The following is a 15,724-nucleotide window of genomic DNA, read 5'->3' as shown; positions in this document are numbered from 1 at the left end:
CCACCACGCCTGGCCTATTTTTTTTTTTTTTTTTTTTGAGATGGAGTCTAGCTCCATTGCCCAGGCTGGAGTGCAGTGGCGCAATCTCGGCTCACTGCAAGCTCCGCCTCCCAGGTTCATGCCATTCTCCTGCCTCAGCCTCCCAAGTAGCTGGGACTACAGACACCTGCCACCACACCCGGCTAATTTTTTGTATTTTTAGTAGAGACAGGGTTTCACCGTGTTAGTGAGGATGATATCAATCTCTTGACCTCGTGATCCACCCGCCTCGGCCTCCCAAAGTGCTGGGATTACAGGCGTAAGCCACCGTGCCCAGCCTCCCTGGCCTATTTTCTTAGAGAGAGGGTCTCACCATGTTGCTCAGGTTGGTCTCAAACTCCTGCCCTTTAGTGATCCTCTTGCCTCAGCCTCCTGAATAGCTGGGATTATACTCATGAGCTATAGCACTCAGCTGGATCGGGGGGGTTAAACACAACCTCTAACCAATGACTGACCACCAAGCTATGCTGACCCACAGACAATCCCTACTAGGCCAGGTTTTACAACAAAAAACAAAACAAAAAAACCCCAATGAATAGAGACGTCATTGGCAACACACAGCCGGTTAAAACAGGCTCTACAGAATTAGTTCGGGAAAGTAAACAAACAAACAAAATCACAACAGTAACAACCATAACAGAGGGAGATCAGAAGCCAGATTGGCTACAGTTTGTTACCAAAAATGTATAGTTTTTTTTACAAAAATTATGAGAAAACAAAAAGCAAAGTATGAGCCATAAACACAAAAGCAGTAAAAAGAAACTGTCTCTGGGGGACCTCTGATGTTCAATTTAACAATGGCTTCAAAGTAGCTATCATAAAAACATCAAAAGAACAAAAGGAAACTATGTTTAAAGAATTAAAGGGAATTACAGCAATGAAGCTCATCAAATAGAGACTATCAATAAAGAGACAGAAATTAAAAACGTTTAAAAAAAGAACCAGGCCGGGCGTGGTGGCTCACGCCTGTAATCCAGGCACTTTGGGAAGCCGAGGCGGGTGGATCACCTGAGGTCAGGAGTTTGAGACCAGCCTGGCCGACATGGCAAAATCCCGTCTCTACTAAAAGTACAAAAATTAGCGGGAGCATGGTGGCAGATGCCTGTAATCCCAGCTACTCAGGAGGCTAAGGCAGGAGAATTGCTTGAACCTGGGAGGTAGAGGTTGCAGTGAGCCAAGATCTCGCCACTGCACTCTGGCATGGGCGACAAGAGCAAGACTTTGTCTAAAAAAAAAAAAAAAAAAAATAGCGGGGGGCAAGTGATTTGCATATATAGTCTCCAAAGTAGATATATATTAATGGCAAACAAGCACATGGAAAGATGCTCAACATTATTAGGTACTAGGAAAATGCAAATAAGATAGAAACGACTTCAAACCATCTAGGATGGCTATAATGAATTTTTACAAAACCACAAGGAAAATAACAAGAGTTGAGGTAGATGTGGAGAAATTAGAACACTCATACCTTGCTGGTGAAAATGAAAAATGACACAGTCCCTGTAAAAAACAGTTTGGTAATTCCTCAAAAGTTCAAACAGAATTATCATATGATCTAACTATTATACTCCTCAGTAGATAACCAAGACAACAAAAAACTTATGTTTGCACAAAAACTTGTACCTGAATATTCATGGAAGTACTATTCATAATAGCCTAAAAGTAGAAACAACCTAAATGCTCATGATTGATGAATGGATAAGCAAAATGTGATTATCCATATTCTGGATAACCATAAATGGTTATAAATGGAAAATTATTTAAAATATTATTCAGCCACAAAAAGGAATAAAGTACTCTCATATGCTATGACACGAATGAATCTTGAAAACATTATTCCAAATGAAAATAAGCCAGATACAAATTGTAGGAGTTACAGAAAATGTCCAAAGTAGGCAAATCCACAGAGACAAAGTAATTAGTGGTTGCCAGGTTATGTGAGAAGGGGAAAACTGGGACCGACCACTCAAAGGTACAAGATTTCCTTTTGGGGTGACATAAATGTTCTGGAATTATATAGTAGGGATGGTTGCACAAACTTGTGAAAACATTAAAAAAACCCCACTGTATTGTATGCATTAAAAATGGTAAATTTTATGTTTGTGAGATATACCTGGATTAACAAAAATAAAGACCTCCCTGGATAAGAAACAGAGAGTTTGTGGCAATCAGACCTTCCTTATTAGAAATACTAGAGGGCTGGGTGCAGCGGCTCACTCTCTGGTGGCCTGTAATCCAAGCACTTTGGGAAACCAAGACGGGAGGATCATGTGGGCCCAGAGGTTCGAGACCAGCCTGGGCAATACAGTGAGACCCTGTCTCCGTAAAAAAATTTAAAAATGAGCTAGACATGGTGGTGTGCCTATAGTCCCAGCTACTCAGGAGGCTGCGGCAGGAGGATCACTTGAGACCAGGAGGTGGAGGCTCCAGTGAGCTGTGATCACACCACTGCACTCCAGTTGAGGTGACACAGCGAGATCCTGTCTCAAAAAAAAAAAAAAAAAAAAAACCCTACAGAAAAACACACACAAAAAAACTGGAGAAAGTCTTTTAGGCTGAAAGGAAATGATATCAGATGATAAATGAATGTACACACAAAGAAATAAAGTGCACAAGTATGATACTTGATAATTATGTAGCAAACAAAGCATAAATAACATATATTTGTTTTCCTCCTATAATTCATTTAAAGACAACTGCATAAAACAGCAACTATGAAACTGTATTACTGAACTTATACAAAGAAATGTAATACGTATGACAGTAGTGACACAAAGAGGAGATGAGGAAATTAATACATTTTACATTTGCTTAAAGAGAGCTTTTGAAGTACAAATTAAAAATTTTAAAATGTATCTAAGGCTTTTCAGGTTATCTGTTTCTTCTTGCAGAGGTTGGGTAATTTGTATCTTTCAAAGAATTTGTTTCATTAAGCTGTCAAACTTACAGGCATAAAGTTATTACTATTCTTTTCAGTCATTTTATTATTTGTGGCAATATCTCCTCTTTCAATCCTAATATAGGCAAATTATGTTGTCTTTCTTTTAATCAGTCTGGCTAGAGGTTTATGTTTTTTGCTTTTTGTTTGCTTGTTTTTAATAACCAGGCTTCAATGTTTTTAATCTTTCTTTTTGTTTTTCTCTTTCATGAATTTCTGCTTTGTCTTTATAATGCTATTTCTTTTGCTTAACAGTTTATATTTTGTGCTGTACATTTCCATCTGAACACAGGTATAGCTGAATCTCACAAATTCGATGTACTGCTTTCATTATCGTACAGTTCTAAATATTTTCTAATTTCAAGGTCCAGTTCCATGTTATCCCAGTTCTAAGAAGCCTTCCTCAATAATCTCAGTTAATACTGATAAAATCCTAACAGCTGATACAGCATTAACTGTTGGACCCTGGAAATACATGGTGTTAGAATTTCAAGCAAATCTTTTCCACGATTTTGCAATCCCCTTTCTCAGAACAAAATAATTTTAAATATTTATACATACACATTTACTCTAGCTGTTATATCCTCTTCAGGAAGGTCTAATTTATCCTCCACCATATCACTAACTTTTACTTGTTTCACTACTTCCAAAAGCAATGTATCACTGGAAGGCTGTGAGTGTTGGATACCTGTTTTAAACACAAAATATCTATTAAACATAAAGTAAAAAACAATATTATAGCCTTTCTGTAATTTCTGACTGCTAATTGTGTTCCTGACTGTTAGATATAACAATATGTATATTATAAGTAAAGACGGTACTTTGATTTAGAGTAATCCTTCACGTTTGATGGCGATTTTGACCACTACTATTCATAAGGTAAAAAGAATAAATGTTTAAAAAATAATAGTATCTATTTTTAATAACAGTATTATTTGTTTCAGAAATAGGCCAAGTACTCTCTTTATTTATATTTAATTCTAAAGGTTGCCAATAATTAAGTCAAAGGAAGAAATATTCTAATTGTATTAATGTAATAGAACCATTTTTACTGTGCATTTGTACAAAAGCAATACTAAGAATATATGACAAATTGTCTTTAATTGGGAAATAATACACAGACCAAGAGCGAAAGTGTTTACTTTCTGGACCACATGGAACTTAATACATAATTCCGAGGCAATTATATGCAATACATGTAATGTATTTTATAAACTAAACATCCTGTAAAAAGGCAGGTCTGGTATAATGAAAAGAACATGGTCTATGAAGTGGTGAACCTAGACTCAAATTTAGTTTTGCCAGTTATTAAGCCAATGACCCTTCTGAATTTATGTTTTCTAAATTGTAAAATGGAGACTTCATCACAAGGTTGTTATGTATATGAAAGGTAATATATGTGAAACATCTGGTACACATTAAATATAAAATAAATGATAGCTACTATTATATATTTATCTTCCAACTATCTGATTGAAATAAGAACAGCAATACAAATATATGCATAATTTATAGGATTGGAAAAAAAATTAACATACTTAACTTGATGAATAAAGACATTTCATTTATGGCAAAAATAATTCATACACAATATATAAAATAACACAATACTGCAAATAACTATAAATAACAAAACACTATAAAGACGACAAATCCTCCCTTAACTTCTCAAATGATACCGTTGCTCAGACATAAGATGAATCAACGTAACGTACAGCTGCATTTTTCTGTGTAAATCTGTTTGATCATACCCTCTACATTGGGAAGTAGTGATTCACATTTTCCCTAGAACAAGTTAGTAACTATTTCTACTGAACATGTTTTTTCATGAGGTCTAATTTATTGTTAAAACATTTAATTAACGAAGTACATGACAATGCAATAAAAAGTGAAAAGAAGGAAGCCTAGGTAGTCTGATACAAATAGGAAATTGACTTTATATAGATGTATGGTACTATTCTGTTAACAGTATGAATTGAAAATCTGATGAAAGATTGGTGAAGGATGGAGAATGAAGGATGGACTGCAGCAAGGAGGCCAGCTGGCAAGCTACTGTAAGTTTGGAGAAAGCACCAAGCTAAGCCATGGCAATAGCAAAGGGAATGAAAATAAGGAAAAACATTCAAAAGTTATGTAAGAGATAGAATCAACCAGACACAGTACCTAAAGAGCTATTATATGTAGGAATTTCAGAGATATGAGGAGAGACTCATGGATAATGTGGATTTTAATTTCAGCAACTAATATATGGAGATATTGATAACTACAATACCAGATACAAGAGAAGTAGAAACTAGGGTAAGGAATACACATATGAGAAAAGATAATAAATTCAGTTTCAGAAATGTCATACGGAGACTGTGTAAGAGATATCCCAACAGGCAGCTGGAAACATTGTTCTAGAGTTCAAAAGGAAGGTTGGAACTAGAAATACAGATGGGAAAGGAGCATTACATATATGGTGGGTTAGCCATGAGATCACTCAGGAAGAACACAGGTAAAAGGCAAGATTCTAGGAATGGATCTGGGAACATCATCATTTAAAGGTGTGCAGGAAAAAAGTTTTAGAAAAAAAGACTAAAAGTTGGTATAAAAAGTAGGAGGTTAAGCAGCAGAGCTAAGAAAGAAATATATTTACAGGCTGAGTGTGATGGCTCATGCCTGTAATCCCAGCACTCTGGGAGGCTGAGGTGGAAGGATCACTTGAGCCCAGAAATTCAAGACCAACCTGGGCAACAGAGGGCGACCTTGTCTCTACAAAAAAAGTTTAAAAATTAAAAAATTAGCTGGGTGTGGTGGTACACACCTATAGTACCAGCTGCTCAGGAAGCTGTGGCAAGGAGGATCACTTGAGCCCAGGAGCTCAAGGCTGCAATGAGTGGTGACTGCACCACTGCACTCCAGCCTGGGTGACAGAAAGATATCCTGTCTCACAAAACAAACAAACAAACAAAAAAAGGAAAAGAAAGAAGGAAAGAAATACACTTACAGAGAAGGATAACCACTAAATGCTTCAGAAACAATGGAAGCAAGGTGAGGACCAAAAATAAGTTGTTAAGTTTGCCAATCAGAAAACAGCATGTCTAATAGAGAAGTACAGACAAAAAAAATTTCTTAAATCAATTTTTTTTTTTTTTTTGAGAGAGGGTTTTACTGTGTTGCCCAGGCTGGAATGAAGTGGTATAATCATGGCTCACTACAGCCTCAATCTCCTGGGCTCAAGCAATCCTCTCACCTCAGCCTCCCAAGTACCTGGGATCATGGGCGCACATGACTGCACCCAGCTGACTTTTAAAATTTGTTTTGTAGAGATGAGGTCTCATTATGTTGTCCAGACTGGTCTCGAACTCCTGGGCTCAAGCAACTCTTCTCCTTGGACTCCCAAAGTGCTGGGATTACAGGTATGAGCCACCACACCTAGCCAAACCAAACCTTTTTTTTTTTTTTTTTTTGAGACAAGGTCTCACTCTGTTGCCCAGGCTGGAGTGCAGTGACACGATCGTGGCTCACTGTAGCCTCGACCTCCTGGGTTCAAGCAATCTTCTCACCTCTGAGTAGCTCCAACTACAAGTATGTGCCATGCTACAAAAAATCGTATTTTTTGTAGAGATGGGGTATCACTATGTTGCCCATACTACAAACCAAATATTTTTACTGATACATTTAAGAATATATTTACTTTTTCACTCTTCAAATTCCCTAATTTACAAGTGGGTGTGTTCCAAAAGGTGCTTCATAAGTCAGCTGTTTGAAATTAATAATGGATTTTCCATCCAAAATAATATTTTAAATCATGGTTAGCTTTGCAGGTTAGCCCATAATGAAAACACTATTCTATACATCTGCAATGGGTTGCTTATAAAAAGCAGTATTGGAGTAAGTAAAACAAAACAAGATAATATTTTAAAAAAAGAAAACCATGAATTCTGGCAGTTAACGGAAATATAGACAAAACTAAGGAGTAGACAAAACTAAGGAGTAGGCAAAACATTTTGCAGTTAATTCTGAAGTATACTTCAAAGAACTTTAAAGATATTAAAGACTGATGCCTTTTTTTATGATTTCCAATTTCACCTTGAAATATATAATTTTTTTTTCTGTACAGTTTTATTGTCACTATTACACTTGGAGTAATTTTTTTTTTTTTTTTTGAGACGGGGTCTGGCTCTGTCGCCCAGGCTGGAGTGCAGTGGCACAATCTCGGCTCACTGCAAGCTCCGCCTCCCGGGTTCATGCCATTCTCCTGCCTCAGCCTCCCAAGTATCTGGGACTACAGGTGCACGTCACTACGCCCGGCTAATTTTTTGTAGAGACAGGGTTTCACCATGTTAGCCAGGATGATCTTGATCTCCTGACCTCGTGATCCGCCCACCTCCGCCTCCCAAAGTGCTGGGATTACAGGCGTGAGCCACCACGCCCGGCTCACTTGGAGTAAATTTTTAAAGTGAGAAAAAAAAACAAAAAGAACAACTGAGACTAAGAAGGGACATAAAATTACATCTGTGTGCATGTGTCGAGGGGTGAGAAGGAGAGGAAAAAACAGAGGGAACTTTATGGAAGGAAATTTCTTGGCAAAAGTCGAGAAAATAATATGGAACACTATGCCTTAAGTAACTATTAAAGTCATTTACCAAAAGATGTTTGTTGGGTGTTAATGATAGTTACATTTCAAAGAGTAGAGAAAGATACTTACAGAAGAGGATACAAGATTCTTTCAGAGAAAAAGCTATACACAACTGGCTATTGCTATGTAAGATAACACTCAAAGTTAGTGTTTATATCATGGACAGGGCCATTATTTTGAATTAAGGAAAACCACTTACTGTATCTGATTTATTTCAAAATGTAAGACTCTAAATGGCAGGCATCATAGCTCTCTTGATTCATTTTATGGCATCAAATGTTTTGGCCATATGTTAGGGCAATTAAAAAAAATAAGATCTGGCCAGCCATGCCGGCTCAAGTCTGTAATCTCAGCACTTTGGGAGGCTGAGGTGGAAGGACTGCCACTTGAGCCTAGGAGTTCAAGACCAGCCTGGCAATATGGTGAGACCTTGTCTCTACCAAAAAAAAAAAAAAAAAAATGCTGGGCATGGCATGGTGGTATGCATTGGTAGTCCCAGCTAATCAGGAGGCTGAGGCAGAAGGATCGATTGAGCCCAGGAGGTCAAGGCTACAGTGAGCCATGTTCAAGCCTCTGCAATCTAGCTTGGTCAACAGAGAGAGTCCCAGTCTCAAAAAAATAAAAATAGTTTAAAAATAACATCTAAAAGTTGGTACTCCTGTCATCTAAAACTACAACATAATATGCCTATGACTACCAATGATTTGTTGTTGTTGTTGTTGTTGAGGAGGAGTTTTGCTCTTGTCACCCAGGCTGGAGTGCAAAGACGCGATATCAGCTCACTGCCACCTCTGCCTCTCGGGTTCAAGTGATTCTCCTGCTTCAGCCTCTGGAGTAGCTGGGATTACAGGTGCCCGCCACCATGCCCGGCTAATTTTTGTATTTTTAGTAGAGACAGGGTTTCACCATGTTGGCCAGCTCGAGGTCTCGAGCTCCTGACCTCAGGTGATCTGCTGCCGCGGCCTCCCAAAATGCTGGGATTACAGGCATGAGCCACTGTGCCGGGCCCAGTGATTCTTGATAAACAACATTTTGGGGTATTTCACAGACCTATCTTAAAAAAGGGAGAGAAGACAAGTGAGACAGTTATAAAGGAAAGGCTTCCTAAAGAGTTGCAGAAACCCGTTAAGATCTGTTTTGAAATAGTGTCAGGCAAAATTTTTGTTTGTTTTGAGACAGAGTTTTGCTCTTGTTGCCCAGGCTGGAATGCAGTGGCCTGATCTCAGGTCACTGCAACCTCCGCCTCCCGGGTTCAAGCAATTCTCCTGCCTCAGCCTCCTGAGTAGCTGGGATTACAGGTGCCCGCCACCATGCCTGGCTAATTTTTTATATTTTTAGTAGAGACGGGGTTTCACTATGTTGGCCAGGCTGGTCTTGAACTCCTGACCTCAAGTAGTTTTTTTTTTTTTTCTAGAAAAAGGCATTGGCCAATCTAAGATACTAAGGGTCTAGAGCACTATAAAAATAGGTTATAATAAAAGGCATAAAGGATTGCTAAGAATTATGGCTGGGTGCGGTGGCTCACACCTGTAATCCCAGCACTTGGGAGGCAAAGGTTGGGAGGATAACTTGAGGTCAGGAGTTGGAGACCAGCCTGGCCAACATGGTGAAACCCCATCTCTACTAAAAATACAAAAATTAGCCAGGTGTGATGGCATATGCCTGTAATCCCAGCTACTTGGGAGGCTGAGGCATGAGAATTGCTTGAACCCTGGAAGCAGAGGTTGCAGTGAGCCGAGATTGCGCCACTACACTTCAGCCTGGGCGACAGAGTGAGACTTTTGTCTCAAAAAAAAGAAAAGAAAAGAAAAAAAAGGATTGCTAAGAATTCTATCTAACATTAGTATTAGCCTCAGTCTTGATGAACAAAAAAACTAAGAGAAAAGAACATTGTTTCATTGCAAGAGACATAACAGTTGATATGAAGTACAGTATACTTTTATAATTAAAATTTTTTTTTCTTTTAGAAATTACAATCAATGGAAGTATTAAATCACCTTGGATTTAGGCCAAATGTAACAGGACTGAAAACATATAGTCACTTAAATATCAATTATAAAATGCCACCCTTCCTTCATAAGTAAACACATTTAAAACAATAAAATAACAATCGTCAACCCCACGAACACTCTCATTATCTTCAACAAACAATTAAACAGTCATTGGAACTCACCCAGATTATCTCTCAAGGCACTAGCTTCCTCATGGGTTTTGAAATTATAATTCGGTACCAGCTTAAGTCTCATGCGGGAATAATTCTCTACATTAGCTAGCTTCCAGTGAATTGGATTCTGTTTCCTAAGAATATTCATAAGCAAATAAGTAAAATTATTTAGCTTAAGTTACAAAGATTGTTTGATTTAAATAATGTAAAAAAGTATCAAGTATTTTACATTTGTTTAGTACCATTTTATTTTATTTTTATTTTTCAGAGACAGAGTCTCATTCTGTTACCCAGGCTGGAGTGTAGTGGCACAATCTCAGCTCACTGCAACCTCTGCCTCCTGGATTCAAGTGATTCTCGTGCCTCAGCCTCCTGACATAGCAGGGATTACAGGCATGTGCCCCTACGCCCAGCTAATTTTTGTAATTTTAGTAGAGATGGGGTTTTGCCATGTTGGTCAGGCTGGTCTCGAACTCCTGGCTCAAGCAATTTTCCCGCCTTGGCCTCCCAAAGTGCTGGGGTTACAGGTGTGAGCCACCATGCCCAGCCTATTTAGCACCATTTTATAAAACTGCTCACATTTTTTATCTCATTTAATCCAAATAACTCTGATAGAACCAAAGTGAGTATGCGTAGCTGCACTTTATACATGAGGAATCTAAAACAGACTACATTATTTGCCCAAGATGACATGAGGTTTACAGGTAGCAGAAATAAGATTTGAACATGGACTTTCAGACTTGACAGCTTGATACCTTTACTCTCTCACTGTTAAATGGGAGTTCTTAATTAGCTATACAGATGGTTGATATTTCCAATAGTTTTCAAAGTAAAAAATAATTTTACTACAAATAAAGGCAATATAATTGCAAGTGAATCAAAGATCTAAATATAAGAGCTAAAACTATAAAACTCTTAGGAGAAAAGATAAGGATAAAACTTCATGACCTTGGACTTGGCAATGGTTTCTTAGATATGACACCAAAAAAACCCAAAAAAACAGAAAAATAAAAACAACAACAAAATAGATTAAACTGGACTTTGTTAAAATTAAAAACTTTCCTGTATCAAAAGGGCTGCTATTAATAAAGTGAAAAGACAATCTACATACCTGAAAATCATATATATGATCAGGGTCTATTATTCGATATATATATATATTTATATATACATTCTTACAATTCAACAAAAGAAATCAAACAATCTAAAAATGGGCAAAGGACTTGCGCAGACATTTCTTCAAAGAAGATGTAAAAATGACCAACAAGCATGTGAAAAGATGCTAAACATCATTAATCATTAGGAAATGGAACATGAAATCATAAAATACCACTTTACTCTCACTAGGAGGGTCATAATAAAAAATCAGGAAATAACAAGTGTTAGTAAGAATGCGGAGAAATTGGAACTCTCACACATTGCTAGTGAAAATATAAAATGATGCAGCTGCTGTGGAAATCAGTCTGGCAGTTCCTTAGTAAATTAAACACAGAATTATCACACGACCCAGTAATTCCATTCATAGTCTATACTCAAGAGAATTAAAAACAAGTGTTCAAACACTTGTACACAAATGTTCCCAGCAGCACTATTCAAATTAGCCAAAAAATGGAAAACAATCCAAATGCCTATCAACTGCTGACTAGATAAAGAAAAGGGATATATCCTTATAAGGGAATACTATTCAGCCATAAAAAGGAATAAAGTACTGATACATGCTACTACATAATGAAAACATTATGCTAAGTGAAAGATGGCAGACACAAATAGCCACATATTGTATGATTCCATTTATATGAAATAACCAGAACAGGCAATAAATACAGTCAGAAAGCTGATTGGTGGTTGCTAGGGAGTGGGACAGAGGATAATAAGGAGTGACTTTTTAATAGGTACAGCATTTCCTTTTTAGGTGATAAAAATGTTATGAAGTTGGACAGTGGTGATGATTGTACAACATTATGAATATACTCAGTGCCAGTGAACTGTACATTTTAAAATGGTTAAAAGGATAAATTTTATGTACATTTTACCACATTTTAAAAAGGGCTGTATAAAAAAAAGATAATATAATTAAGCAAAACAGAAGTAACTGAGGATCAGTTAAGTGAATTGTAAAATATTCAAACATACAACAGCATTAGCCCTAGCTCAAAGAGGTGGTATCAGAAAGACAGAAGTAAATTGGTTTAACACTCTCTAAGAGTCTAAAGTCCAATAAACTTCATATCAAAGGGTCAAAGGAAGGCAAATAACTGTATGATAAAAAACAATACAACCTCGAATCATCCCAGACCTATAATTCATGGAAAGACAATAAATAAGATTAAAAGCACCCTTTTATGAATTGAACATTTAAGAAATTGGAGTGAAAGGGGGCATTTGCTCAAAAATTTCTAGACCAGAGTACTAAAGAAAAAGGAGTACTTAATAAAATTATATCCTCTTACCTTTTAGCCCAAGGTCCCCTTTCACATGTAAGATAGAGCTGTATTGCTTTCCAGCGTCTAAGAGTGGCTAACTGTTGACTGCTAAGTTGTTTAAGCATATTATTATACCTCAGGTTCTCTTGGCGTGCTTTTCGATTAAATGGCTCCACAAACAGCTCCTGAAAGAAACAATAAAAAGTAAGGTCATTGACTCATATATTTACAGGTATATTTACATTTTAATTCCATAATTTAAAATTTTTGACCAATAAAATCTTGCATTATGAGAAAGAAGCTAAGTAACCAATAGGCTTTTCTTATTCCATTAGAATCATTTTCTTTGATGAAGTGTGATATAATTTTACCTATAATCTATTTATATTTTTTAAAACTTAAAAAAAAAACCAACCAACAATAAACACGTGAAGAACTTCAAAAATGGAAAGTGCCTCAACACAGAACTTTTAAACTCAAGATAATTAACCTCCTACTTACTGTCAAGTAAAATAATTTTCCTCTGGGATCTTTTGATTTATAAGGCATCTAAAATGAGACTCAAGAGGAAAGAAAGTAGAAATTGTATACTACAAAGACATAATTTTAATCTGTGAAATTAATGCTTATAGGTTTCAAAGAAACAAACCGAAGACTGGCTTATCTAACTCACATCAATATTCATCTATTAGAAACTAAAATGACAGCATTAATTTGTTTCAAACAAACCAGCACTGAATTACATTAAAAAGAACAGTTAAAATTTTAAACAGTTTTAGAGAGACATTACAGCAATGTGTGGTTAAAAATACATGCCTTGGAGTTAGACCTGGATACAAATCTTAGCTTTTCTGAGCTAATTTTCTTATCTAACTTTATCTTTAGCTTAGTTGTTTCTCTTAGCTAATTCTCTGAGGCTCAGTGTCCTCTCATGTGTAAAATGAGGTTAACAATAACTGTCATAATAAAGATGAACATTTAAAGTACTTAATATAGTGCTAGAAAAATAGCAAGTTCTCAATAACTTGTGGTTGTCGTTATTATAATTGTTATTGTTAACTATTATTAGACTTAGTAGGAAATCAATTGTTTTGGAATACAATGTTACTAAATATTTAAAACAGATCATTGCTGAGAAAACTAAGGAAGTCATGACAGCTCCATGGTAATTAAACATAAATTCCACAGTTTTGAGGTTCAATAATATGAGGATATTCTTAAATTAGGTATTTCTAGAAAACCTAAAGGTAAAGTTAAGGGGAAAGTGTTGATGAGAATACAAACTGGTAGAACTTCTCTCAGGGAAATATAACAGTATTTATCATAAGGACTACACACTAGTAATTCCACTTATCCTAGAGAAATCTTCTTGGATAGCCACAAAAATATAACTATAGGGATGTTCAATACTATTTATAATAAAGAAAAAAACTAGTAAATGAGTCTAACAATGGGAAATAAATTTAAATGTACTAATATATAAAACAATGGAATACTTTGCAGCCCGGCATGGGAAGATGTTTACAATATATTTTAAGTTAAGAAAGGAACAATGTTCTCATTTTGGCTTAACCAAATATATACACCTTAAAATTACTTAAGACTATTGAGTCTTCCAATTCATGAATACAGTGTCTATCTGTATTTATTTAGGTCTTCTTTAATCTGTTTCAAGTGTTTTTTAGTTTTTGGCATATATACAGCAGATGCTGTATATATTTTGTTAGATTGATACCTAAGCATTTTATTATTTTTAGAGCTATTGTAAAAGTATTTTTAGAAAATCTGTTTCCCATTCATTACTCATTGCTAGTGAACAGAAATATGATTAAATTTTGTGTATTGATTTTATGTCCTGTAGCCTTGCTAACCTTGCTTATTTGTAGTAATTTACTGGTATAACAGAGTCCTTAAGACTTCCTACACAGAGAATCATGTTATCTTTGGATAGTTTTATTTTTTCCTTCCCAATGTGAATGCTTTTTTATATATTTTTTCTATTCTTACTATACTTGCTAAGATTTGTGGTACAACAGTAACTAACAGTGGTGAGAATGAATATCCCTGCCTAGTTCCCTATCTTAGAGAAAAGTACTCAGGTTTTCGCCTCTGAATATGAAGCTAGTGGTAGGATTTTTGTAAAGGTTTAAGTATTTCCCTTCTATTCCTAGTTTGCTGAGAGCTTTGATTACAAATGGATGTTTAGTTTTTTCAAGTGCTTTTTCTGCATTTACTGATATGATAATGTAGTTTTTCTTGTTAAGACTACTAATGCGGTTCAGTATATTAATTAATCTTCAAATGTTGAACCAGTCCTGCATCCTGAGGATAAATTCCACTTTGTTGTGTCATATATTATTATTACCATTATTATTATTGTTCTTGAGACCGAGTCTTGCTGCTCATCTACACTGGAGTGCAGTGGTGGGATCATGGCTCACTAAAGCTTTGACCTCCTATACTCGAGTGTTCCTCCCACATCAGCCTCCTCAGTAGTTGGGACTACAGGTGCGTACCACCACACCCAGCTAATTTTTAATTTTTTTGTAGAGATGGAGTCTCCCTATGTTACCAAGGCTGGTGTCGAACTCCTCACGTAAAATGATCCTCCCACCTTGGCCTCCTAAAGTGCTGGGATTACAGGCATAAGCCTCTGTGCTTGATCTAATGTATTATTTTAAAAATGTATTGCTAGATTTGTTTTGTAGCTATGTTCCTGACAGATACTGGTCTGCAGTTTTCTTGTACTATTTTTCTATGATTTCACTATGAGGGTAATATTACCCTCATCAAATGAGCTAGAAATGTTCCTACTTTTCTATTTTTGAAGAGACTGAGAAAGTGGCATAATTTCTCCATTAAATGTGTGGTAGAATTTGCCAGTGAAACCATCTGGGCCTGAAGTTTTCCCTTTACGAAGGTTTTTAACTATAAATTATATTTCTTTAATAAATATAGGACTTTTCAGGTTATATACTTATTCTTGAACTAGTTTTGGAAATTTGTGTCAGTCAAAAAATTGATCCATTTCATTTAAGTTGTCATATTTATGTGCATAGAGTGGTTTGTAGTAGTCCCTTATTACAATGTTGATGTCCGGGGAGTCAGTGGTGATACTGCCTCTTTCTTTCCTGGTATAAATAATTTTTCACATCATTCTCTCTCTCCTTTTTTTTTTTGTCAATCTTGCTAGAAGTTTATCTGTTTTATTGATATTTTGAAGAATTCGACCTTGGTTTCATTGATTTTCTCTATTATTTTTCTGATTTCAATTTTATTTACTTCTGTTTTTATCTTTACTCATTCCTTACTTTTGCTTATAAGGATATGGATTAATTCTGTTTCTCTGTTTTTCTTTCTTTTTTTTTTTTTTTTTTTGAGATGGAGTCTCACTCTGTTGCCCAGGCTGGAGTGCAGTGGCATGATCTCTGCTCACTGCAACCTCTGCCTCCCAGGTTCAAGCAATCCTTCTGCCCCAGCCCCCTTAGTAGCTGGGATTACAGGCACATGCTACCATGCCCAGCTAATTTTTGTAT

General features: G+C 36.2%; 1 protein-coding gene across 12 annotated transcripts in view; it reads right to left on the bottom strand.

The window, feature by feature from the left end:
* The window catches only part of NBEAL1 (neurobeachin like 1), a 210,587-nt gene that overhangs the window by 63,831 nt on the left and 131,032 nt on the right, over positions 1–15,724 (bottom strand). For all 12 annotated transcript variants that reach the window (XM_011511658.4, XM_047445554.1, NM_001378026.1 and 9 more), the window contains 3 exons: positions 12,216–12,373; positions 9,775–9,899; positions 3,539–3,665 (listed from right to left, as the gene is read on the bottom strand). In XM_011511658.4, coding sequence (XP_011509960.1) covers positions 3,539–3,665; positions 9,775–9,899; positions 12,216–12,373 — 410 coding nt within the window. The remainder of the gene's footprint in view (positions 1–3,538; positions 3,666–9,774; positions 9,900–12,215; positions 12,374–15,724) is intronic.

Source organism: Homo sapiens, chromosome 2 (genome assembly GCF_000001405.40).
Source record: "Homo sapiens chromosome 2, GRCh38.p14 Primary Assembly".
Taxonomy (NCBI): domain Eukaryota; kingdom Metazoa; phylum Chordata; class Mammalia; order Primates; family Hominidae; genus Homo; species Homo sapiens.
The sequence above is the reverse complement of the archived record's forward strand: the minus strand, read 5'-3'. Positions and strand labels throughout refer to the sequence as shown.